The sequence below is a fragment of the Homo sapiens genome, chromosome 17 (genome assembly GCF_000001405.40).
Source record: "Homo sapiens chromosome 17, GRCh38.p14 Primary Assembly".
Taxonomy (NCBI): Eukaryota; Metazoa; Chordata; class Mammalia; order Primates; family Hominidae; genus Homo; species Homo sapiens.
Genome location: NC_000017.11, coordinates 63,522,723 through 63,549,107, shown reverse-complemented (window position 1 = coordinate 63,549,107; position 26,385 = coordinate 63,522,723). Strand labels below are relative to the sequence as shown.

Sequence of the window (26,385 nt, the reverse complement as noted above, 5' to 3'; positions counted from 1 at the left end):
GGTTTCACCATGTTGGCCATTCTGGTGTCGAACTCCTGACCTCAAATGATCTTCCAGCCTCGGCCTCCCAAAGTGTTGGGATTACAGGCGTGAGCCACCGCATCTGGCCAAGAAATCCTCTTTTTTTTTTAATTTTATTTTATTTTTGAGATGGAGTCTCACTCTGTCGCCCGGGCTGTAGTGCAGTGGCACTATCTCGGCTCACTGCAACCTCTGCCTTTAGGGTTCAAGTGATTCTCTTGCTTCAGCCTCCTGAGTAGCTGGGATTACAGGCGCCCGCCACCATGCCCAGCTAAAGGAAATCCCCTGTAAGGAGGAAAGTTTAAAAACAAATTTAAAAAGGAAAGAAAAAGACGTACAAAATTCGCGGTACCTTGTCTTATTCTAATAAAAAATAATGATATTTATCCACAGATATAGGAACTAACGGGGGGAGGAAATTTTCTCTTTTATGACGTATATTTCCAATAAAATTTTAGTTTTTATTAGAAAATTGAATATATATTTATGTTGTTTTGAACAACTGTACTACTAATAGATGTAACCCTTAAAGCCTTATTAAGGTTACAAAAATTAATTTTAAAATGTCAATTAATTTATACACATTCGTTTTGAGGCAGGGTCTTGCTCTGTTATCCAGGTGGTGGTGCAGTGGGGCAAACAGTGCTTATTGCAGCCTTGACCTCCCGGGCTCAAGCAATCCTCCTGCCTCCTTTATTTTTTGTAGAGACAAGATCTTGCTATGTTGCCCAGGCTGGGTTCAACTGGTCCTCCCACCTCAGCCTCCCAAAATGCTGGGATTATAGGCATGAGCCACCCCATGACCGACCTACTTTTTTTTTGAAACGGAGTCTTGCTCTGTTGCCCACGCTGGAGTGCAGTGGCACGATCTTGGCTCACTACAAGCTCCACCTCCTGGGTTCACGCCATTCTCCTGCCTCAGCCTCCCGAGTAGCTGGGACTACAGGCACCTGCCACCACGCCTGGCTATTTTTTTTGTATTTTTAGTAGAGATGGGGTTTCACCCTGTTAGCCAGGATGGTCTTGATCTCCTGACCTCGTGATCTGCCCACCTCAGCCTCCCAAAGTGCTGGGATTACAGGTGTGAGCCACTGCGCCCAGCCACTTTTTTTTTTTTTTTTAAGAGACCGAGTCTTGCTCTGTTACCCGGGCTGGAGTACAGTTGCATGAACATGGCTTACTGCAGTCTTGACCTCTTAGGTTCAAGTGACTCTCCCACCCAAGCCTCCCAGCAAGCCCTGTAGTACCTGGGACTACAGGTGCGCATCACAATGCTTGGCTAATTAAAAAAAAATTGTTTTGTAGAGACCAGGTTGAGCTATGCTGCCCAGGCTGGTCTTGAATTCCTGGCTCAAGCAATCTTCCAGCCTCAGCCTCCCAAAGTGTTGGGATTACAGGCATGAGTGAGCCACTGCACCCAGCCTGTATACATATTTGTGTTGCAAACATATGATAGGGTGATCAATATTAGGCTTTGAAGCATACCAATAAATTACATGTAGGATAAAACTATGGGAGGAATAAGTGGGAATTATGAGAAAAGAAAAAAGAACGATGTTAAAGAAGGGTTTCTTGTGTTTTTAAAATAGATGGTGGTGGCTCTCAAATCGCTGCTATTTGGGTAGAAATGGGTCAATACAAATGCCCCGTGTTGGGCACGGGGATGATTTTTAAAATTTTCATTTTGAGACAGGGTCTTATTCCCTTGCCCAGGGTGTGAGTTCAGTGATGCAATCACGGCTTACTGTAACCTTGGACTCCTGGCCTCAAGCAGTCCTCCTGCCTCATCCTCCTCCCAAAGCCCTGGGATTACAGGCATGAGCCACTACACCTGGCCTCTTTTTTTATTTTTATTTTCTTTTTAACTGAGGTATAATTTACACACAGAAGCACACTCTTTCGCAACCTGAACACCTGTAACCAGCACCTAGATCAGGAAACAGAACAGTACCTGCACCTCAGAAATCCCCCTCATGTTTGGGTGTCTTAGTCTCTCTGCTACTGATCCCACATCTGTAAAATGGGGATAATAATACCAACCCGTTGGGGTTGTTTTGAGGATTAGATGAACAAGTATCTGCAGAGCTGTCAGCACAGTGCCTGGTACGGGGCGAGTGCTACCGAAGTGTTGGCTGTTGTCATGATCCCCTAGGGCCACCAAGCCAGTGCCTCTGCTTCCCTTCACCTCGGCCTAACAGCCCCAGGCTCCAGGAGCCTCTGGGCCCAGCAGAACCACCTTCAGGTCCCCAACACACTGGATATGGTGGAGGGTAAGTCTGCAGCTCCTTACAAGAAGGGTTTGGAGAAAGCCACAGCACAGTCAAAGACGTAATGACCTTCAGATAAGTTACACACCCAGTCCAACATGAAATGTGTACTTTATTAGCTGTGTGACACTCCACTGCCCTCAAGAGACCCAATGTCACAGAACCATCAGGAGCAGAGGGCTGGAGGACTGTCCTGACATGTCTGCCACAGAACATACCTCCATCTCCAGCCAGGTCAGAGGCTCATGGTAAGAGTTCTGACCAACCCCGGGCCTTGGTGCTGAGCCATGAGGTGCTGGAGGGTTCTGAGCTGGGAGGCTCAGAGCAAGGTACTCATGTAGATCAGAAACCTCTTTCTTCACTGCCCCCTCAATCCTGTAAGCTGCCTCCACACCTGAGACTCTCCCACCCTGCACCAGGCTTGCTGTTTAAATGGAGCCCTGGAGGAGGCTGGGAAAAGTCGTGAGCTTCTTCACCCACGCCATCCTGGGTCACCTGGATCAGCAGTTTGTAGCTACTTTAGGAGAGGCCCATCTGGGGGGCTGTCTGCCTCCCCAAGATCTTTTTTTTTTTTTTTTTTGAGTTGGAGTCTCACTCTGTCACCCAGGCTGGAGTGCAGTGGTGCGGCCTCGGCTCCCTGCAACCTCCACCTCCCGGGTTCATGCCATTCTCCTGCCTCAGCCTCCCCAGTAGCTGGGATTACAGGCGCCTGCCACCACGCCCGGCTATTTTTTTTCTTTTTTAATTTTAGTAGAGGTGGGGTTTCACCGTGTTAGCCAGGATGGTCTGATCCGCCCGCCTCGGCCTCCCAAAGTGCTGGGATTACAGGCGAGCCACTGCACCCGGCCACCTCCCCAAGATCCTTAACTCTCACCTTGCCCACCTTCAGTCCCCTCATGGTGTCTTTATCTTGGAGTTCAGTGGCCCCAACTCCCTGCAAATCCAGGATCTGAGCCATGTCTCTGGAAGTCCAGCTGCTTGGGAACAGAGCCAAGGTGTTCAGGGAGGGAGGAGAAGCAGGGACCACAGATGAGTCCTTGTACTTCCAGGGGATGTAGAGGTGAGGCTAGGGGTGGCCAGAGCCCCTCAGGCTGTTCCTGTTCTGAGGATGGTGCCAGAGTTTTGTCCGTTGCCACAGCCAGGTGAGGCATCCTGGGGGAGGAGTTCCTGTGCTTTGGACTACAGTCATCCAAGTCTCCATAGCTTGGGGTCTGGGAGGAGCAAGAAAGAGGGATGCACCCCAGGCCAGGCTGCGGGTTAATCCACCCTGATTTCAGGGATGGGATCAGGCAAAAATTGTACCTGCCCTTCCCACACCTCAGGGTCCTGCTGCCCTGGCCCCAGCTGCAGGCTCTGGAGTCACATTCTGGGCTTTGCCAGCACCTTGCCCAGGCTAACCCTATCATGACTCTGATCATAAAGGAGGTAAGCAGAAGCCCTGGCTGCTCTGGGGCCACAGAGGCTCTGGGCCTGATGCTGCACTGTGAACAAGTCAGGGTAGGGAAGGCATGCAGCTGCTCGCAGGTAAGCCCCTGGGAATCCCCTCACCTCTTACCTGTGCAGGAGGCAGAAAGCCCTGGGGCAGCCTGGGCCCTGGACTCGTCGTCTCCGAGGCTATAGGAACCAAGGCCAGGTCATTGGAGGCAGGGGCTTCCAGAATGTAGCTGGCGTGGCCCTGGGGCATGGGCTTCTGGAGGAGCTGCAAGATGCGGCTGAGGTCTGAGGACACGCGGGACTCCAGCCTGCCAGACAGAACCCCACAGTCAGGGTCAGGGCTGGCAAAAGTAGTTCCTGAGGGCAGCTGTCAATCTTGTAGCCTGCGTGCTGTTCCTGCTAGATGGAATGGCGGCCTGGGGCCTACCTGAAGCTATTTCCTTACTGGGATCCACAGCCCCGGCCCAGAATCCCCCTGGTACACCCCTGACTCTTAACAACACCAGTGAGCAGGCACCAAGCATACAAGATTCAGTCCCCAAGATGCTTTGATGTGGATGTTCCAATTATCCCCATTTCACAAAAGGGCAAACTAGGTTCAGAGCTGTTTAGTAACTTGCCCACACTCTTGCTGGTAGGGAACAGAGCCAGAATTTGAACCTGGACTGTTCTGCCTCTAAGCCCTCGCTCTGCCACCATAGCCCTGCCATCCACAGGACACACTCCCTTTCCCAGGACCTATGGAATTTGTTTCTGCACATGGTTGTGCCCCTCCCCCGAGAAGCTCCCTTGGCATGTTCCAGAGTTTGCTAGGGGAAGTCATTGGGGGAATTGTGCTTAATGACAGGTATGGGGAGACCTGCAGCTAAATGGCCTGCCCCATTCTAAAACCCACCTGGCACCCTGTGATGTGTCTGAGCCACTAGGAGGGGCTACCCATGACCAGCCCCCAGCCCTGACCACAGCACACACACCTGTTCATCTGGGCCTGGAGCTGCTCTAGCCTGGAGCCCAGCTTCAGAGGCCAGCAATCTGGGTCTTCCTGAGGGCTTTGGGGGCTGTGCCTTGGGGGCATTTCCTGCAGTAGCTCAGGCCAGAGGCCAGATGCATCTGAGATGCTCAGGGGAGGGGCTGCATCTGCAGGAGGGAAAGGGAAGTCTCAGCTGGGCCTAGCTGGTTCCACAGGCCTGACCCTTCTCAATAGAGCCTGTCCCCCACCCCCTACCTGCCCTGGGGACACAGGGTGTGAGGAGTGGCTCTCCTTACCTGGGTGCCCTGGAGCACAAGGTCCTGCCCCCATGGAGTTCTGGCTCCCAGGACCCAGGAGGCTGTAGCCCTTAGAGGGGAACTGGGGCCCCAGCTCATGGGGAGACCCTGGCAGGGTGAGGACTTTTAGCACTGGTTTCACTGCCCAGGGAGCTGCAGCCCAGTGGCCCCCCTGATGCCTTGGTGTGGAACCTCAGGGGGCTGGCTAGTCTCCATACACCCCTGGGGGTTGCATTTGAACCACAGAGCCCTCACTCTGCCTCTGAGGACACAGACCATCAGGACTGGGAGACTGGGGAGGAAGGAGGGCCAAGGCTCCAGCTCTGGGTCTAGAGAGGGAGCCCCTCTCCACTCATGGAGTGGGGTGGCGCTGGGGAGGCAGGATGGAGAGGACATGGGAGGGGTAGGAGGCTGGGCAGGGGCTACAGGCTGGTGGGGGTGGGGGCTGGCTTTGCTCACCTGACTGGTTGTCACTGAGAAAGAAACCTTGGTGGTCTTGGCTGCCAGGAGCCTGTCGGGGGGATGAGTGGAGACCCCCGGCTGCCTTATGGGAAGCAAGAGGGTGAAATAACAGGAACCAAAGCTGGGATGGGGCCTCTTTGTTCTTCCCTGCCCTGACCCCATGGTGCTGTCACAACTAGGTGAAAGAATGACAAGCAGCTGGGCACAGCAGCGATGCCCTGGACGACTTCCTGCAGGTGGCCCAGGCTGCAGAGACCACACCCCTCCTGTCCTGGTGCCCAGCTGCTGGGCATTCTGGCCACCTGATGGCTGGGGGCCGAGGGCAGAGTCCTAACCTGTCAGTCTCCTGTGCAGATCGCGGGAGGGAGGGGAGAAACTGAGGAGGGGGAGAGGGGATGGTGTGGGGAGGGCTGTCCACAGCCAGAAAGCCCACCCAGCTCTATGCTCAGGAAGCTGGGCACAGGGCCTACGCCAGCAGGGCCCTCCCCCAAGGTGGAGGGGCGGGGCACCAGGGAAGAAATAGCCCGGGCTCTGTGTTTCCCTGCCAGATGCACACTCCCTTCTTCCCATTAGTTTCCTCCTCCGTGATACCCCGCTCTGGGCATTCCCAGGTCGGTCCTGGCTGTCCCACTCCTTAGCAAGCTTGAGCTCCACATGGCTTCTCCTTTATACCTTCGTGACTTTGGCTGTTTTACTTTGTGGCTCTTTATTTTTCTTGAGTTGTCAAAATCTCCTCTACTGAGGGATGAGCATGAGAAGAGACAGCTTTGTCACCTCTTGGCAGCCCCTGTGTCTGGCACTGTGAGCCCTCTGGACAGAAGGCACCCCCTTTTTCAGCTTGGTATGATGTAGTAGGAATGCCTGGGCTTTGGAGTCAGACAAATTAAATTCACATTTTGGCTCTGCCGTTGACTAGCTGAATGGCTTTGGCCAATTTATTTATTGTCTCTAATCCTCAGTTTCCTCATCTGAAAATTGGGGATAATAATACCATTTGCAAGAAGATCATGTAAAAGAAGCCCCACCCTTAGCACCCTACTGCTTAATAAATAGTAGCTATCCTCATACTTAGCATGACGCCAGCCATGGTAGGCACAAAAGAAATTATGGCAAAGGTTGCAGGATGGGGTTGAAAGGAAGGGTGTTGGTCAGATGGGTGCCCTCAGGCCAGGCAGGCTGCCTGGGCATTTCCACCCACCCTGGCCCACCTGGCCCTGACTCACGTCCCGCAGGTTGAAGGTGACCTCCAGCTTACTCCAGAAGCTCTCCGCAAAGGCCGGGTACATGTCCAGCACCTCCAGCAGATCTGCCCGCTGGATCTTGTGCAGGTCGCAGTAGGTCAGAGCCCGCACGTCTGCACTGGACTTGCCTGGCTGGGCATGGAGGCTGACGGGTTCCCCAAAGATGTCATTCTTTCCTGCCAGCCAGAGGGGTGGGAGTCTCTTCAGGGTCTGACTCCATGCTCCCTTATGAGGGTCCTTTGACCGTGACCTCCCCCAACCTCGGACATCCTTCTAGGCCGGGGCCTGCTGCCTGGGATAGAGCTCTGGGGACATGGCTGGATGTGCTGGCTGTGGGTGGCAGGGTAGGGGTGGGGCTGTTCTCTTCCTGTGTCCTTTGAGCGGCACAGAGATCCGGCGTGTGGCTCCTCTCACTGTCTCCAGGCCCTTCAGAACCACCCTCCATCAGAATCTCCCTCCTGTAGCCCATACTCTTTGGCACAGTGGGCAGGAAGGGGCCCTAAAGGCTCAACATCTGTCTCAACGTCTTCCTGCTGCTTGGCCTGCCAGTGCTGTGGAGCAGGGTGCAGGGAACCCAGGGCCAGAGCACCTAACTCCGCCAGGGCAGGGCCAGAGGCTTCTCTGTCTTCCCACTCCCAATTGTGGGGCCAGGTAACCAGCATGGCCCTGGTGAAGGAAGCTTGGGGAAGTTACTCCCCCTGTCTAGACCCCAGAGTCTTCATCTCTAAAATGGATAAAACCTGATCTGCCTTGCCAACCCCACTGGACTGTTCAGGGAAGCAGATGAGGTGATGCTTGAGAAAGTGACTCAAAAAGCAACAGGCAGCAGGGCTCAGCGGCTCACGCCTGTAATCCCAGCACTTTGGGAGGCTGAGGGTAGTGGATTATTTGAGGTCGGTTCGAGACCAGTCTGGCCAACACGGTGAAACCGCATCTCTACTAAAAACAACAACAGCAAAAACAAAAATTAGCAGGGCATGGTGGCCTGTAATCCCAGCTACTCGGGAGGCTGAGGCAGAAGAATCACTTGAACCCGGGAGGCAGAGTTTGCAGGGAGCTGAGATCACACCACTGTACTCCAGCCTGGGTGACAGAGCGAGACTCCATCTCAAAAAAAAAAAAAAAAAAAAGCAAGAGGCACCTGACTAGGTCCATGCAAGGCAAGGGGGAATATCCCAGGGTAGACATGGGTGATGTTCAGGTATGTGGTATGTGGCAAGGGTACTGGGCCCTCCTGGTGCCAGGTGCTGTGCTGGCCAAAGGATATAAATATAAGATGTTGTGCCACCCACAAGGACCCTCCCAAATCCCTGCAAGATAGGTACGTAAGCAGCCAACAAGTTTACAGCATGATCTGTAGAGCCCTAGAAACAGGAAGAACCAAGAGTTATGGGGCCATGGAGGAGGGAGGGGCTCCTCCTGCCAGGGGTGGCTGGGGCAGAGAGGAGGGGGCTTACAGAGGAAGTGAAGTGGGGGCTGTGTCGAGAGAAACAAGGACCAGCCCCCATGAGAAAGGCAGTCAGGACAGAAGAAACAGCATGTGATCAGCACTGCACTGTCAGGGCTCAGGGGTGGAGAGCCCAGGGCCGGGGTGCCACGGAGCATGACTGCTTTGATTCCCACTCCCCCAGAAAGTCCACTTGTTAGTGCAAGTGGCAGTAACAGTTTAGCACAGAAGGATGGGTGGAGGCTGAGACATGTCCCCACAAGAGAACAGGATCAAAGGGTATTCACAAAGGAGGGGGCTGAGGCCTGGAGAGGGAAGCGGCTTGCCAGGGTCACACATGAAACCCTGAAGCTTGAAATCTGGGCAACATTATAATGTGATGGTTTTCCAGTAGATGAAAGATTCTGATCTAGTGTCTTTTTCTACTCAGGACAAAATGAGAGGTTTCATGTCTCTAACTGAAACTTAAATTGGATTAACTTCTTAATTATTAATAATAATAATCATCCCTCCCATGTGATGGCACTTTTTTTTTTTAAAGACAGAGTCTCGCTCTGCCACCCAGGCTGGAGTACAGTGGCGTGATCTTGGTTTACTGCAATTTCCACCTCCTGGGTTCAAGCAATTCTCTGCCTCAGCCTCCCAAGTAGCTGGGATTACAGGCACCCGCCACCATGCCGGGCTAATTTTTTGTATTTCTAGTAGGGATGGGGTTTCATCATCTTGGCCAGGTTGGTCTTGAACTCCTGACCTTGTGATCACCCACCTCGGCCTCCCAAAGTGCTGGGATTACAGGCATGAGCCACCGTGCCTGGCCATGGATGGCACGTCTAAGGTAGGCTGGGAGTGAGGGAAGGTCTCATACAGAAACCTGTGCCTAAGCCCAGCCTTGGAGGACAACTGGGATCTGCCGGACTGGCACAGGGTAGGGCGCTCCAGGCAGAATGGCAGCACATGCAAGGGCACAGATTTAGAGAACTCTAAGTAGTTTGGCTGGAGCATGAAGTACCAGGGGGAGGGTGGTAGGACAGGGTGGTCGGATTGGGATAACTGGGGATGCCATGCATGGACCATGGGGAACTGTGGAGGGATCTTGAGCAGAAGAGGCAGATGTACAGATGTCTATTTCAGGTCACTGGCAGAAGGTGGAAGACAGGCATGGGAGTAAACCAGACGCAGGGCCATGGGAAAGGAGTTCCCAACACCTTTCCAGGAAGGACCCAAAGAGGGCTGGATCCAGGCAGGGACAGGGAGACAGGTGTGAGATGGAGAGGTATGGACAAGTCTGGCTGGTGGACAGTGGGCAGGAATGAAGTAGGATGCCCCCTTGGCAGACTGTGGCGTGGGCAATAGGCAGATGCTTCACAGTGATGGGGATGCTGAAGCAGCTGGTTTTGAGGAAAGGTGATTTCAGGTTGGGATACATTGAGTTTGATCTGTTCATAGAATACTAGGGCGGCCATGCCCAGGAAGAAATGGAATATTCTGGTCTAAGGAGACAGTGGGGTGAGGACAGGGCTCCTTGTGGCACAGGTGAAGGCTGAAGCCGTGGGAGCGAGGAGCAGGCCCAGGGGAGGGTGTCAGGTGAGGAGGGGCGAGGAGAGCAGATCACCAGCAGTCCAGAGGAAGCAGAGGGGGAGGGCTGCCCGAGGGGAACCTGTCCAGAGGGGCTGGAGGATAGCCAGGTCATGGGTACCAAAGGAGGGCGAGGCTGAAGTTGGGGTGGAGATGAAGTCATGGGGCAGGCAAGGAAGATGAGAATCAAGAGGACCCTGTGATGCTCAGAGAGGCAAAGTGACTTGCCCAAGGTCACACAGCAGGTATGTGACAGAGGCTGCTTGTGACCTGTCTGTCCCCCCTGCCCAGTGCTCATGTCCTTCCTCCAAAGTGTCTAGCTATCCCTGTGTCTGCACTGAATGAGACTGGGGTCCCCAGCCAGGGCATCCACCTCCACCCAGAAAGACCCTTGGCCTTTCTCCCTAAACTCCCCAAGAGTGCAAGAAGGTAGGAAGACCTGCCTGGGCTTCTGAGTCACACTGGCAGCCCTGGAATCCCTGCCTGGCCACAGACTAGCATGATCTCCCTCAGCCTCAACTTCCCTCTCAGGAAAATGGGACCTCCGGCAGAGGGTTGTTTTAAGGATTCAGCCAGCTGGGTCTAAAGCTCTCCCGGGCACATGCTGTGCAAGTGGCTGCCAGTAAAAGTAAAATCCTCATCAGGAAGAGGGTGGCCTGGGCAGGGCATCTCCAATCCCGCCCTCTTCCATCCAATCCCCAACACAGGCCTGGTCCACTCCGCCGGACCCACCTAGGATGGCCACGACCACGTCGTCGCGCAGGATCTCGATGGAGCCTCGGGAGATGAAGTAGAGGGTGGAGAGCACGTCGCCGAGGTGCACCAGCGTGTCCCCAGGCGGCGCGTGGGTGGTCTTGAACTTGACGGCTAGCGCGCGCAGGCAGCCCTTGCCGGCGCCGCTGAAAGCTGGGCAGTGCTGCAGCAGTGCGCGGTGCAGGTGCAGGCAGATGTCAGCCTGCAGGCACTCGGGGAAGCCCTTCAGCACCTGCAAGGCGGGCGGCCAAGTCCAGCGGGACGCGGCCGGGGTGGGGCTGGGGGAGAGGGTGGTGAGGGCTCTGGGGACGCCCCGCCCCCGCAGGATCTTGGCTCCCCCCCACGCCCGGGGCATTAGCCGGAGCGGCGGGGCTCACCGCGTTCATGTCAATGCCATTGGTGTAGGACCAGGCGTGCTGGAAATACTCCTCCAGGCGCTGGCGCAGTGGGTTGGGGATCTGGTGGAAGCGGATGAACTCCTTGACACGCAGCATCTGCGTGTGGTAGCGCGCGGTGCCCGAGTACAGGCGCTGGATGATCGCGGACACGTTCCCGAAGATGCTGGCGTACATCAGGGCTGGGGGCGGGGCGGAGAGTGAGCTCCTCCGCGGCCCCACTGGGCCACACCACCAAGGGCTTACCCAGGTCTTCCTCCTTCCAGCAGCCCCCTGGTGAAGGACCCCTCTGTCCAGGGAGAAGTCAGGAGTGACCAGGACAGCGCCAGGGCACATGCGGGACAAAGGCCCCTGGGCTTTCTGCCCTCCTCCCTCTGTCCTGTGCCTCTTGGCATCTTACTGGGCCTAGCGGTCAAACTCCCGAGAAGAAAGAAGGAAGGCAATGGATTTTTAAAGTTCAGATCTGTTTTCTCCTTTAAGTTGTAAAAATACAATAAAGATAAAACTCTCCGCCGGGTGTGGTGGCTCAGGCCTGTAATCCCAGCACTTTGGGAGGCCGAGGTGGGCAGATCACCTGAGGTCAGGAGTTCGAGACCAACCCAGACAACATGGTGAAACCCCGTCTGTACCAAAAAAATAGAAAAATTAGCCGGGCATGGTGATGCCCGTCTGTAATCCCAGCTACTCGGGAGGCTGAGGCATGAGAATCGCTTGAACCCAGGAGGCAGAGGTTGCAGTGAGCCAAGACCATGCCACTGAGCTCCAGCCTGGGCGACAGAATGAGACTGTCTCAAAACAAAAAAACCCACAACAACAAAAAAGAGCAAACTCTCAATTTCTTGTTTTCACCCATTTTCTTCCCTTGTTTTTGTTTTTCTGGACTTTCATATCTCTAAATACTCTGAACATCACAACTCAATCTATGTGTAAAATTCCACGCTGACTCTTGTTTTCCTAAACCAGGTGTCTTGGGAGGCAGGCAGCTGGGAGCAGGGATTGAGAACAGCACAGCCTTGGAGCTGAACCCCTGGGCTGGGATTGAGTCACTCGGACATTTCCTAGCTGTGTGCCCTCTGGCACTTTAGCACTACCTGGGTTCTTGCTTTGTAAACCAGGCTCAGAAGGGAATGAAATGTGGGCTTTTGTAAAGTGTTTAAAAGAGTGCCTGGCAGAGCTGGCTTCATGTGTACAACCCATGTGGACACACGGAGCCGCATGCTAAGAGCCCTGCATTTGGTTTAATACTCTGCTGTCACTGTCGAAAAATTCTTTTTTTTTTTTTTTTTTTTTTTTTGAGACGGAGTCTTGCTCTGTCTCCCAGGCTGGAGTGCAGTGGTGTGATCTCGGCTCATGCAAGCTCCACCTCCCAGGTTCAAGCAATTCTCCTGCCTCAGCCTCCTGAGTAGCTGGGATTACAGGTGTGTACCACCACGCCGGCTAATTTTTGTATTTTTAGTAGAGACAGGGTTTCACCATGTTGGTCAGGCTGGTCTTGAACTCCTGACCTCATGATCCGCCCACCTCGGCCTCCCAAAGTGCTGGGATTACAGGAGTGAGCCACCATGCCTGGCGAAAAATTCTTAATAATTTTTTTTTCTTTTTTGAGACGGAGTCTCACTCTGTCACCTAAGCTGAAGTGCAGTGGCACGATCTTGGCTCACTGCAACCTCCACCTCCCAGGTTCAACTGATTCTCCTGCCTCAGCCTCCCGAGTAGCTGGGATTATAGGCATGTGCCACCACACCTGGCTAATTTTTGTATTTTTTAGTAAAAATGGGGTTTCACCATATTGGCCAGGCTAGTCTTGAACTCTTGACCTCGGGTGACCCACCCACCTTGGTGTCCTGGAGTGCTGGGATTACAGCCTTGAGCCACAGCATCTGGCCGATTCTTAATAATTTTTAAACAAGGGTCCCTACAATTTCATTTTGCTCTGGGCTCTGCAAATTATGTAGCCTGTCTTGGTGCCTGGCAGATAGCATGGGCTGTGTGGGTGTTAAATATTGTATACACTTGGTGCACACACCAGCAAAAATTCATTGTGCTGCACACTTAGGATCAGTGTACTGCATGAATTGTTGCTATGTGTTATGTTCTATCTCAGTACAAAACTACACATAAAATTTCACGGGTAAGACCAGAGCATGAAGTTAGGCCGTGGCATGAGGTCTCACTCACAGCCGATGAGCATGACGCAGATGGAGAAGACCTTCTCGGAGTTGGTGTTGGGCGAGACATTGCCGAAGCCCACGCTGGTGAGGCTGCTGAAGGTGAAGTAGAGGGCTGTGACATACTTGTCCTGCACCGAGGGGCCCGAGGCTGGGTCGCTGCCGTTGTAGCGCTTGCCAAGCTGCACACCCAGGCTGTCCAGCCAGCCGATCTTGTGTTCTAGGTAGGGCCGCTCCACATTGCCGATGGCGTACCAGATGCAGGCCAGCCAGTGCGCTATGAGCGCGAAGGTGCACATGAGCAAGAAGAGCACAGCCGCCCCATACTCAGAGTAGCGGTCCAGCTTCCGTGCTACGCGCACCAGCCGCAGCAGCCGCGCTGTCTTCAATAGCCCAATCAGGGTTGTGGTCTGGAGGGGTAGGGAAATGGTCACAGGGCTGGGGTCAGCCCTTGGAAGGGTGCAGTCAGGCCTGCTTTTGTTCACTCATGCATACAACCACATACTCATTCAACAAACATTTATGGAGAACTTCCTCCGGGCCACGCACTTGGCAGTGTGGCACAGTATGGGACATTGAGGATCTCAGCCTAAAGCTCAGAATAGTGTTCTGGTTGCTAGGACAGAAGTCCAGTGGGAGAACAGAGGAAGGGGAGGTCAGGGGAGGCTTCATGGATGAGGTGACGCATGAGCTGAGCCTGGAGAGAGGAGGCTAGGGCTCCAGACAGACAGGAGAGAGAGGGAAAGGGCACTCCTGGCTCAGGGAGCAGCATGAGCAGCGGCACTGAGGTGTGAAGTGCGTGGCCGATGTGGGAAACCGAGTGTGGCACTGCAGCCCGATGCGCACATGGGAGATGGAGGAGCAGTGAGAGCCGTGCCTGGGAAGGGCAGGGCGGGCAGGGGCTGCTGCCTGTGGGCTTCAGGGTCCATCATGAACTTGGCTTCTAGTCTGTAGGCCTTGGGAAGCCACTGAAAATTCTGAGGACCCTGTACACCCCAGAGGGTGGAACACAGGGTCAGGTAGGCGATCTGAAAGTCGCTGTGGCAGCTGTGTGGAGGGGCGGGAGACTGGCAAGTTTGGTGATGGGACACAAGTGAGTACGAAGGCCACTCAGTGTCCAGGTGGGGGCAGCAAGGTAGGAGGGTGGATTTGTTGAGGGGTGGTCTTAGGGGGCTTTGGAGCAGAGGAGCCCTGCTGGACACCCCCTGCTGGACAGGCTGGGGTGATAAGGGGGCACTGGAACACAGAAGGCAGAGTTGATTTCAGTGAAAAGCTGATCGTGAGGAGAGGGGGCAAGAGGAGACCGTGGGACTGGAAGCTATGAGAAAGGCATGTAGATGCCTTCACGTCACCTATGGGCAGCCAGGTGGACATAGTGGAGGGCTAGGGAGCAAGGTGGGAGCCAGGGTGCACTGGGGGAGTGGCCTGGGGATCCCTTTCTTCCTCCAGGGTGAGTGCAGTTTGGAAGTCAGCATGAGGGGCCGGGACCACACGAGTGCCCATCCTGGAAGGGGCAGCCTGCTCCTCTTACCAGGGCCTGCTCAGAGAGGGGGCAGAGGGACAGAGGCCTGGGGGTGCAGCCTTGGCAGGTCCTTCTCCAGGGCTGGGAGGTGACAGATGTTTGGGGCCTCCTCTCCACCTCCACGTGCTTCAGCAAAGGTGCCCAGTGCCAGATACTCTCCGCACCCAGTGCTGTGCAGCAGGGAGGGCTTGAGGCCAGCGTGCAGAGGACAGCCATGGCTGCTGGCCTGGAGGGGGTCTGCTCACCTCATCGGAGCCAGTGCGGAAGATCAGGAGGTCGAAAGGGATGGCGGCCACCATGTCAATGAGGAACCAGCCCTTGAAGTAGTGGACGGCGATGCGGCGGGGGTGGCTGACCACCTCATCATTGGTGTTGACATAGGTGGTGCGGAAGTTGATGACGATGTCCACGACGAACATGATGTCCACGATGAGATCCACCACAGTGAGGGGACTGCAGGTATAGCTGCAGGCCCCACGCCGTGATTCGTCCTGATCGCTGAGCAGGAAGGCGGCTGAGTAGGGCGTGAAGACAGCCGTGTAGATGACCAGCAGCAGGATGAGCCAGTCCCACACGGCCTTGAAGGGGCTGTAGTGCAGGATGGTCCAGCGGTGGATGCGCGGCGCCTGCAGCTTGTACTCCGGCAGCACATCCGCGCCCAGGGACAGGACCTGGGGGTGGGGGCCGAGGGAGGTCAGGCACGGGGCAGCCACTGCTGGTGAGACTGGCCTAGAGGGCTGAGGCCTGGGGAAGGTGTAGTGGGAGAGGGTGGGTGACCACGGCTCTGGTGGGCAGAGGGGATGAGGGAGAGATGGGGTGGGGGGTGTCTGAGAAGGCAAGTTCCTAAGGGGACAGATGCCTCGAGAGGAAGTGCAGAGAAAGGAGTTGGGATGCAAGAGGAGGGGTATGGCTCCGCCCCATAGCGACACCAGGTTTGATGCTCACAAGCTCCCTTGGAAACATCCTGGAGTGGGTGGAGCCAGGCAGGGGAGGGCCAGGCCCATGGACATCTATAGACCCATTCCACACAAGAGCCCACAGAAGGGGTAGCTGATGGGCTGATCCTCTCTGGTGAGCTTAGGAGGCTCCCTATGGTCAGGGTTCCTGATGGGAACAGGTCACCCCTAGAAGAATGTCTTCCTTTCTGAGGGCCCTGGGGATCCAGGACCAGTGAGTGCCCTCTCTGAGGCCAACTCAGAGCCTCCCATGGAAAGAGTCCATGGGGTAGGGGTGTAGCCAACCTGGACCCTCAACGGGTCCTGGGCACCAAGGAAAACTGACTCCTCCCCACATCTCCAAGGGTTTGGAATCATCACCTTCTGCAGAGCCTTCCCTTCTCCCTTCTCCCCTCCCGCCCCCGCCTCCAAGACTGTGATCAACCCAGGATCTCTAGGTCCCAGCACAACATGCCCTGGCTCTGCCCAGCTGCCCAACATGAGAGACAGCCAGGGCATTAGGAAGGGCATGGGTACTGAAGCCAGGCCTCCCCGGTTGAATCCCAGGTCTGACATGTGCTATAGGTGAGCCTTGGGCAAGTTTTGTAACCTCTGTGAGCCTCAGTTCCCTCATCTGCAAAATGGAATCACAAAGGACAACAAAAGCCATGGGTAGTGAGGAAATGAGATGCATCTCTTCTCATGTAGTTAGTGAGATCCATCTATTCTCATGGAGATGGCAGGTGCTGCTCTACACAGTAATTCCCTGTCCACCCTCCTCCTCCCTCAGCCTCATCAGACACTGCTCCAGACAAGGATGGAGCCGGAGGGGTGTTCCATGGACCTCCTCTCCCACCAGATGAGATCTGGTGGATAGTTCTGATTTAGGAAAATTTGCAATGTAAGGTTTGACCTTGCAAACCAAATCAATTAGCAGATGGGATCACAGTAAGGCAGATCCATTTAGTTTCAACCAGAGGGTCCCTATCTGACATCCAAACCCTTGAGTGGGGCTACCATGTCCCCACCCTGCAGTGACCTGCTCAGCCTTGAGGCCTCACCTCGTACTTCCCCAGGAAGCCCCCTCCGACTCCACATAGACTTGGGCTCTTTTTTTATTTTCTCCCTGCCCCTGTATCCACCTAGCTGCATGGTGGTGCTCCACTGAGCCATGGGCTCACTGAGTTTGGCTCCCTCACTGGCCCTCTCCCCGCTGTGTGCCCAGCTCTTGGTCCACATGGGCTCTCAACTGCAGGTCCTTGAATGAGCACTGCAAACTGGGGCTCTGATCAGGAGCAGCTGCCGTCACACCCTGGGCATCAGAGCTGCTCCTCCTCCTCCTGAGGGCTGCTAGGACCCTGCTAGGGTGAAACAAGGCCCTTCCCTAGGCCTGCCTGGGTGGGGAGTGGGAGGGAGACAGAAGGAATGGTGGGGGGTGGTTTAAAGTAGGCTGAGAATAGAGTTCCTCAGCTTCTCAGGGCCCCCAGACAGGGGGACCCCCAAAATCTCCCACTGCCTCCAAAGCCAGCTCGAGGCTCTTCGTGGCAAAGCCCACCCTGCCCAGTGTCCCCCAGAGCTGCAAGGCCCTCAGGATGCCCAGGCTCCAGTGTGAGGCCACAGCCATCGAGGCTCTTTAAGTTCTGGTTGAGGCCGATGTGACTTCCCTGATCTGGGTCCTCGCCTGCTCTTTCCCCTGAGATCTGTCAGGCACCTCCCTGGACCTAGGACCCACATGGAGCAGGGGAGTGACACCAAGAGGGGCCAAGCTGAGGAACAAACGGGTAGGCAGGTTGGGCAGGTGCCGGGACTATGGGCCCAGCCAGGCCTGGCTGTCTTTACCGACCACTCTCCAGTCTAACAGCCCCCTCCGTGGTAGCCACCAACAGTGGCATCAACCTAAGATGTCCTGGAGTAAGCAGCTGGGGGGCTTCCCAGGGTCAGGCCTTTGGGCCACTCTGCCTGACCTCAGAGGACACAGTCCTGCAGCCTGGCGTCCCACCCTCCTCAGGATCCTTGAGGTCAGTGAGGTGCTGAGTGGTCTTCCCCACACCTGGTTCCAGCAGCAACTGTGCTTTAGGTGAAAACAGGCAGGGGGAAAAGAGCTGCCTCCAGCCCCAACACAGGGACAGCCCCAGGAAAGCTGGGAGCAGGCCCCTCCATGCTCTGCATTGCTCAACCTTGGCCTGGGCCCCTGGCTATGACTTACAGCTTTGTCTGCCTCCTGGGGCCAGAACTACTCAATGTCAAATGGGTCCCCAGAGACCATTTAGTCCATCTCTCTCCTGCAGATGAAAGCCCTGAGGCCTAGAAAGGGGGCTGATAGTTCCCCTGGCCAAGGTCACACAGGGAGTCAGTGCCAGGACTGTGGTCACTGGAGCCTCGGGCAGGGCTCCTCGCATTTCCCTCTGGAATGGTCAGGGCTTCCGGCCTCATGAGAAGGGACAGCAGGGTGAGCTGGAGCAGAGAACCCAGGGAAGCCTGCCTTGGGGTGGCCAAGGAGGAGCTGCCGGGGTCCTTCAGGGCCTGGCCCCCAGGAAGCTGATTAAAGATAGCTGGAGGTGCCAGCCTCATCCTGCCCTGCCTGGCATGCAGGAGGATCCTGTGTTCACATTGGAAGGAAGTAGGGAGGGTGGCTTTTGTCTCAAAGGCAAAGGGCTGGCACAGGGCTGGGACCCCCCCCCACACCAGCTCTCCTCTCAGTATGGCCTTGGCATGTCTCCTCTCTGCCTCTCCTTCCCTGTGACGGGCTGAGCCTTGGTCAGGCCCCCATGGTGGCCTCCATGTCCATCCCCTGCCCTGGCTTCTCCAGGCCTAGGAGGTGGCATCATTCACAGGCCCTACTGACCCCAGCCTCCTCTGGCTCTAGGAGCTGGGCACAAGGGCTGTGACCTCAGGGCAGGCCTTCAGGTCTTTAGGTCTCAAACAGGACAGGAGGCCCGGGGCTCAAACCAGATATTAGAGGCTGGACAGGCAGGATCTCTTTATCGGCCAAGGCCCCAGAAGGGCCTGGGCCCAGAGCCTGGGAGGGGACCCTGGAGGCCTGGCACAGCTCTGCACACCCTGCTCTGCAGGCCCGCACCTGGGTGACCTTCTCAGTGACGTTCTGTGTCCGCTCCACCACCTTATGGGGCGCGATGATCTCAATCTCCGTGGTGGAGCTGGAGCGGTGCTTCTCCAAGTTGAACTCCACGAAGTTGAGCGTGAACTGTGGGATCTGGCTGATGGTCCTGTACTTGCCCCTGCCTGTGCCTGGCCCTGGTCCGCCTGGCCTGCCATGAGAGCCCTCTGAAACCAGGGCCAGGAGTCAGAGCAGCCACGGCCAGGGGACCCTCATGCGTCCCTCCCACCACCACCCTCACTCTGCCTCACCGGAGCCCAGGAAGCTCTGGGACAACAGGCGCTGGGACAAGCTGCGGCTGCTGCACTTGGCCAGGAGCTGGGCCAGGTCCTCGAAGTTGAGAATGAACATGATGACAGCCCCGTCCTCGTTCTTCACGGGCACCACATCTACCAGGCAGCGGAAGCTGGAGGCTGCGAACACCATTGGGAGGATGGGGGGTGGGCCCTGAAGGGGTCCCCTCCTGCAGTGGCCTGGCTAGGGAAGGGGCTGAGTGAAGGTCAAGTGAAGGGCAGCCACGGGTGAAGAGGCTTGGACAGTGACCAGAGATACTGGGCAGAGGGTGGGTGAGGCTGCTCAGCTGGTGCTCCACCCACAGGGCAGAGGTGGGGAGAGCGGTTAAGCTGCTTATTAGGAGATAAGGTAGCATCAGATCAGGCCCAAGTCCACGCTCGGCCATCAGCTCAGAGCTTAACCTCGAGGTCTGCTTCTGCTGTAATTAAAGCTGAGCAGATGGGGGTGGATTAAGTGGGGAGGTGAGGCTGGGCATTCTACCCCATGGAGCTGGGTTGGCCCTGGGCGCTCTTCCCATATTCCCATCCTGCAAAGATGCCCTGCTCCTGTGATGCAGGGAGGAATTTGTTGTTGAAAGTACACTAAGTGCTGGGCATGGGGCCAGTTGGAACATTTGGCCTCAGGAGGTCCTTGGGGGGCAGGCATGGACCCCCATTCTGCAGAAGAGAGCCTGAGGTTCTCAGAAACTGACTTTCAAGGGCTGGGAGGGAGCATGGAGAGAGGATCCCTGGGTTTGCAGGACACAATAGCTTGGAAAAGGGAAGGGACTTGTTTGGGAGGAGAGTGCTGGGGCCAGAACCAGGCTGCTGCTCTGGGCCTAGGAGGAGTGTGGGGTCCCAAGGCAGGGCTGGGCCCAGGGAGCAGGCAGAGTAGTGGCCTGGGCACCACAGAGGGAGGAGGATGGCCCTGTGGGGGCAGGGCAGGCCCCTCTGGCCACCTTCCCCATTATCTTGGGCAGCCCACACCCAGCGGCTGGCTGCTCTGTGCCTCTCAGGTCGTAGACTCTGCCCCTCCAGGGTCTGGCTGCAGCCCCCTTTGGTGGATGGAACAATACCAGCTAAAATGCCCCATGCCTGGCCGGGCGTGGTGGCTCATGCCTGTAATCCCAGCACTTTGGGAGGCTGAGGCAGGCGAATCACTTGAGGCCAGGAATTCAAGACCAGCCTGGCCAACATGGTGAAACCCCGTCTGTACTAAAAATACAAAAATTAGCCAGGCGTGGTGGTGCGCACCTGTAGTCCCAGCTACTCAGGAGGCTGAGGCAGGAGAATCGCTTGAACCCAGGAGGCCAAGGTTGCAGTGAACCAAGATCATGCCACTGCACTCCAGCCTGGGTGACAGAGCGAGACTCTGTCTCAAACAAACAAACAAACAAACAAAATACCCCATACCCAAGAGCCCCAGGCCAGGCACCCCACGAGCACCCTCTCCATGGGAGTCCTATGTCCCTCAACTCAAACTGTTGGCAGATGTCAGGCCCAAAGGGCAGGATCCTCAGGGGGCAGGGGCCTCAGGTGACCACGCAGATGAGAAGGCAGAGCTGCACTCCCTGAGGGCAGGTTAGGCTCTGTTTCACCTGTCCCAGGTGTTGTTTGTTGACTGAATGTATGGAAGCCCACGTGTGGGGGACGCAGGCCGGCCGCTGGTGGGAGTATCACTGCTGTGGAGCTCACTGGAATGACTCTCCACCAGACTCCTTGTTTCGTCCTCAGCCCCTCCTCACAGCCATCAGAGCTGGGGTGCAGCTGAGCCACCCATATCCTCCCTCTCGCTTTCCTCCCTGGGGAGTAGGAATCTCTCGTATTGGATTTCTGGACTCCCAGGCACCAGGCAGCCATCTACCATCTGCTGCCTGGGCCCAGGGGAGACACCCACACTGGGGAGAGGCGCCTGCCTGCTTCACCCACTCCTGGGCACATAGTGCTATAGGCCCAGACTCCCAGGCCCAAGCCCATAACTCCAGTCAGCCTGGGGCATGGTGACACGTGGACGCTGGGACCTAGACAGGGAGCCTCCTTGGCCAGTGGCCTCGGACACTGCTCCTAAGGCCAGATTATATTGTCAATCTCTCTGGCACTGCAGAGATCTGTCCTGGCAGGGGGCAGGGAGAGGGCAGAGCTGGGCAGAGGGGCAGAAGGCCTCCAGGGCTCTCTAAGCTGCTGGGGGCTGTCAATACACAGTCTTGGCGTGGCTGCACCCAGCAATTGATGTTACTGGAAAATTGATGCAATTGGAAAACTGCGGCTGGGAATGGACCAAAGACCAGCCCGTTATAGCAGTGAGGTCTGGGGCTGGGGTGGGGTGCCAGTGCGTGGTACCCCATGCCCTGCCCCCATGCCTGTGGCCTGTTGGGTAGGCAGACAGGAGGCTAGGAGGATTTGGAAGAGTCCAGAGCATTCTCTCTCCCCCTGCCCCAGGTTGTCCTTGCTTACCCGTGGCTCAGAGCCCCCACACAACAAAAGCCCACATCTAGGTGACCAAAAGTGGGTAACTGTACCATCTCAGGTTATGCCCAGGAGGGATGGTGTTCCTGTGCCCTCACCAGGGCCCTGGAGGAGGAGCCACAGTCTCTGCCTGCTTCTTCCTTGCAGGAGCTCCTCCCAGCACCCACCTTTCTGACCAAGGGCAGCAGGTTTGTCTGCCCCCTGGGAATTCCCATTCCTTCTTATATGCTAGGTTCTTACTTTTCTTAGCAAAGGCACCCCACTTCTCTCCCCTGGGAGACCCCAATTCTCTCTCCTCTTCTCTCCCTCTTGAATGTGCTCCTTCGTTCAGTTTCCCAGCACTCACAACCTCCTTGTTGTCTTCACCTCTGTCTCCCGATGCACACCCCATCCAGCACTGTGGTGAGTCCCCAGGGAGAGGCTGGTGCTACAAAAAGCCAAAAAGCTGCCACTGAGAGGGTGGCCGCTGCATGCTGCCTCCTAGCTTGGTCCTCCTGGCATTCACAGATGTGCATATGGTAAACATGGGAGGAGGGTGGGGGCAGACAGCAGCCCCTTGTCCCATCCTCCTCATCAAGAGCTGAGGACTGGAGAAGTCCCAGGACTCCTCTGATCTGGCTTGGGGATTAGGGGACTCTCTGGTTCGGGATCCTCAGAGAAGAGGACCCAGGAAAGGCAGGCTGGGGTGGGCTCCCGGGCAGGTGCCAGTGCGGGGCAGGCGTGGGTGACAGTGGGGGGATCTGAGTGCTCTCCTTTCTTCCTGCCAAACTCTCACCAGTTCTAGTCCTGCCACATCCCCATTCCTCCTTATCTGTTAGGTTCTCACCACTCCTAGCAAAGGCAAATAGAGGAAGAGCCAGTTTCCCAGGGGTCTCTGAGATGTCTCCCGGGGTATTTTTGCCAAGTGCCCTGGCCTCTTTGAGCCCAAATGTCTGTAGCTGCACAACGTGGAGCTATGTGAACACAAACCCTCCACTTTGACTTCGAGAATTTTCAGTGGATTACCCCTTTAGAGGAAAAGAGGATTATACATAAATCAGCTAGAGATCTGCTCAGGACCCCTTCCCACCTCCCTGGAGTTGGGGGTTGGGGGGAAGGGAGGTACTGACCCGAGGAGGAAAGAAATCACCATTAGGATGCCCCTCAGCAGGACTGTAAGTGTACATGAATATGGTCAAAAATGGATCATGTGCCAGCCTGGGCAACATAGTGAGACCCCCATCCCTACAAAAAATTAAAAAATTAGTCGGGTGTGAGGGTGCGCGCCTGTAGTCTCAGCTACTCAGGAGGCTGGGATGGGAGGCTGCAGTGAGCTATGTTCTTGCCAGCCTGCGTGACAGAGCAAGACCCTGTCTCAAAAAAAAAAAAAAAAAAAGGATTATATGAGGTCAGAGTGGACCTTAAGGTGAACATCAGTTATCTGAGCACAATATCCTTCCCTTAGTGTAATGCAGGCCAGGAAGCTCCCCTTTCTGGGTTTCAGGACAATTTCAGGAAGGTCCAGGTAAATCAAAGCCTTGGGCAATAAGATAGGGAAGGGCCGAGGGTGGGATGGGAGTAGATTGGGACTTATGGGGCACCAGGTATGTGGGCAATTTCCCATTTTCACCGAGGGTCAGCCCCCAAGACAAGGTTCCTAGGTTCCCTTCTGAGACCTGAGGACTCCCACAGGATTCTGATCTGAGTCCTGATCTCAGGGGGCCAAGGCCAGGCTTTGACTTCTGCCCTCTGCCCAGACACCTTCAGGGTGCTGAGGGGACCTCAAGAGCCATCACCTGACATCCCTAGGAATCTGGGATCAGGTATAGCTCTAGTGTCAAGGAGAGGAAAAGAAAGGACCTGCTGTAACCCCCATTTCCTGCTGTCCCATCCTGTTCCCCAGGACCCTTCTCACTCCCCTGACTGCCACCTCTCCTCTGCAATGATGTGAGGAGGTGAGGTCACAGCTTTTAAAAATATTCTGAGTTCATTAACCCTGTGAGTACTGCCACACTAAGCCAGATTCTTCCCAGTCCCTTCCTGGCTGCCGCTGCCTGTTGCACTTCCCACTGCCACTCACTCAAGTGGCAGCAGCAGGAACAACCAGGACCTACCCGAGAAGCTGTAACTCTGAGAAGCCTGCAAACACACACACACAGGCGTGAACTTGCAAGCACACACTCACACACAGAGGCACACACATGCAAGCACACACATGCTCATGTTTCACACACTCCAGGCCCCTGAAACCTGGTCTCTCAGCACTCCTCGGTCCCGATCCAGAGACATCCATTCTTTATCTCCACTCAGGTGGCCTCATGCCTGCCTTCCCTGGGGACTTCTCTCCCCTGAGCACCTCCTTCCCCAGAAATCCTGCCTGTAAACACAAAGGCAGCTGGGGTCCTTTCTCTCCTCTTGGGATTACTCAAAAGAAATCTCCGAGGGAGGAATCCAGAGACTTGGGTTCCAGTCCCAGGTTGGACTCTAGCAGTGGGATCTTGGGCAAATCCCTTCCACATCTATGAAATGAAGGGATTTACCTAAGCCAGTGGTTCCTAAAGTAAGCAGGACATCAGAACCACCAGGGAGATATTTCCAAATACACCCGCTTGGCCTCATCTCACACCTTCTGAGTCAGCCTCTCTGTAGAGAAAGCATGTTTTGGAAAACATGCTCTGGGTAATTCTGATGCAGAACCAGGTTGGGGGCCATTGATTCAAGAGATTTCCCAGGACATTCAGGCTCTTTTCCTCGTTCCCACCCATGCTGCCAGGTCCAGTGAGGACCCTGTGGTCCTGGGGGGTGGGGGAGGATTTCCAAGGGCTGCTGAGATCTGTCTTCAGCTCCTGACTTACGCTTCTGTTCTGCTTGCAGTATGCTCCAGCTGGCAGTAACAACCCAAACTCCATCTGAATGAGCTTCTTGGTCAGGGAAAACTCCAGACCCTGTCTCCCCAAAGAGCTGAGACTGGATAAGGCAGGCCCACCCCACTTTGCCAGCCAAAAGCCCCCATGCCTTGCCTGGCCACAGAGGTCTTCAGGAGGTGACTCCTCCTCTAATCCTTGGAGCAGACGGAGAGGAGGGAAGGTTAATTTCCATCCCAGCTGCCTGACCGCTGGGGCTGACAGTAAGATAGTGGAGAGCCAGGAGACCAGGGACACAGCAGAGGGATGGCAGAGCAGGAGGCCCTGCCCCAGGCCAGAACCAGTGGGTGGCCCAGCCTGATCCCTAGCTCCTGCAAAGGACCTCAGAAGGCATCATATCCAATGCCTGTGGAGGAACCAAGGCCCCTAGAAGAAACAGGGTTTGTTCAGGCCCTTTGGACCCTGGGTCAGTGCCTTCCCCAAGGCCACCCTGGCTGGACAAGACAGAGGGCCAAGCCTGCCCTGCAAAGCCTCTGGCCTGAGTATGCCTCACCATCCTTGCGGTAGTAGAGGATGTCCACCTTGCACTCCTCAGCCCCCAGCAGGGCCTGCGCTAGGCGGGACACGGCGCTGCTTGGTGTGTTGGGGCCTGTGAGGAAGTCGCAGGTGCAGGGTTGCTGCATCACCTCCACTCGGGAGTAGCCGAAGAGTTCGCAGAAGCCGTCGTTGCAGTAAATGATGGCGCAGTTCTCCATCTGAGCATTGGCAATCAGGAACTTCCGACCTGGGGTGGGAGGTGGGAGGCAAAAAGTCCATGGGAGCCAGGATCCAGCGGCTGGGAGGGAAAGATCATAAGGACTCTTGGTGGCAGTAAGGGGAATTTAGGCAGAGGAGCAGGGCAGTGACCGGAATGAGGGAGGGAGTCAGGCCTGGGGATTGTGGGAAGACTAGGGCAGTGAGGGTCTTGAGGTGGAAGGAAGGCCCAAGGCCTCCTGGAAACAGGAAAAGTGTGGGGAAGGGAGGCAGGGATGTGACCAGATGGGGGTCAGGCCTGGGAAAGCTCCTGGGAAGACCAGAACCAGGATATGAAAAGGAAGGAAAAGAAGGACTCAGAGAAGCCTCTGGAGGACGCGGATGAGGGGGCAGGCAGTGGCTGGAAGGGGAGGTTCGAACTTGGGGCACCAAGGAAACAGCTGGCAGTAGGGAGGGAAGGCCTGCACGCTGCTCCTTGTGTTCCAGAAAAGAGGACAGCATTTAAGGCAAGCGGGTCCCCCTGGAGGAGAAGGTGTTGGGGACATCAAAAGAAGGATTTTTCATTCAGCACCCGGCACTCACCACCTTGCCCGGTTAGAAGTTAGTAAAGGGGTCCAGCCCCCCCTTTCACGGAACCAGGACTCCAGATCGTCCCCCCGCCCCAACATACACACACTCACTTTGGCCCTCGAACTTGCGGATGATGGTGTCCAGGTAAGTGTTTTGGGGAGCGACGTGGCCCCTGCGGACCGGCATCTTTCGGCCGCGGCCCCTGCCCGGAGCCACAGGCGCCACTGGCTCCCGGCGTCTCCGTCTGTCCTCGGGCTCAGCAGCGTCCGGCTCCGGTGGGCGCCGCCCCCGGGGAGGGCCGCCGGGCTCCGCGCCCCGCCCGCCAGCCTGCGTCTGCCCTCCCCTCCCCACCCCTGCCCCACCTCTCCTTTCCTTTCCTGCGCTCCCCTGCCCTCCCCTCGCCTCCCTGGCCCGCGCCCTCCTGGCCTCCTCTCCTCTGCGCCGGCCCGGGAGCTGTCCACGCCTTGGTGCTGAAAGAAGCCGCGCGCCGGCGGCGGGGAGGGGGCCGCTGGGCGGGGCAGTTTCTCTGGGACCCGACGGGGCTGGGGCGGGGCCTTGCATCCTACGGGGCGGGGCGGGGCGGGGCGGGGCGGGGCTGGGGTCCTGGCCCTGGAATAGGGCAGGTGTTCTCTGAGGAGCTGCTTCTGTTCCTGTCCTAAGGGCCAATGGCCTCAGCACCTCTCCGATTCCCTCCCAGTACCAAAGGGCAGTCTCCCCTCCCAGTGCAGGGAGTTTCCCAGGCAGGAGGGGGGCTACAGATGGGGTTGTTAGGGGCCTCAGGTGGTCTTTGGCTGAAAGCTTTCTTCCGGGTCTGACCACTGGGCCCGACCCTGGCAATGATACCATTAGGCCTCTGGCCTGCTCTTATAGCAAGTGA

General features: G+C 56.3%; 1 protein-coding gene across 20 annotated transcripts, besides 1 other annotated feature; it reads right to left on the bottom strand.

Annotated features, from left to right (window-relative positions):
- KCNH6 (potassium voltage-gated channel subfamily H member 6) lies at positions 116-25,750 on the bottom strand. Of its 20 annotated transcripts, none has more exons than XM_017025175.2 (15): positions 25,619-25,750; positions 24,739-24,969; positions 18,856-19,017; positions 18,566-18,771; positions 14,797-15,222; positions 13,040-13,439; positions 10,844-11,043; positions 10,446-10,698; positions 6,674-6,867; positions 5,448-5,532; positions 4,989-5,096; positions 4,697-4,859; positions 3,844-4,030; positions 3,163-3,499; positions 116-306 (listed from the first exon to the last, which is right to left on the bottom strand). In XM_017025175.2, exons 1-14 carry the CDS (start codon positions 25,692-25,694, stop codon positions 3,206-3,208), a joined length of 2,985 nt encoding a protein of 994 aa, XP_016880664.1. In that variant the 5' UTR covers positions 25,695-25,750; the 3' UTR covers positions 116-306; positions 3,163-3,205. The 20 variants fall into 20 exon arrangements, 19 of the variants coding, with proteins under 19 accessions (XP_016880664.1, NP_775115.1, XP_016880666.1 ...); NM_173092.4 differs by lacking the exon at positions 4,989-5,096 and having other exon boundaries at positions 13,040-13,125; positions 13,285-13,439; XM_017025179.3 differs by lacking the exon at positions 116-306 and having other exon boundaries at positions 2,381-3,499; positions 13,040-13,125; positions 13,285-13,439.
- Positions 14,694-15,197: an enhancer, noted in NCBI's record as "H3K27ac-H3K4me1 hESC enhancer chr17:61611272-61611775 (GRCh37/hg19 assembly coordinates)". NCBI's record gives its function as "activates a minimal SCP1, AML or CMV promoter by ChIP-STARR-seq in naive H9 embryonic stem cells {active_cell/tissue: H9 hESC(naive)}" and the evidence as "EXISTENCE:reporter gene assay evidence [ECO:0000049][PMID:30033119]".
- Positions 25,751-26,385: the final 635 nt, after the last annotated feature.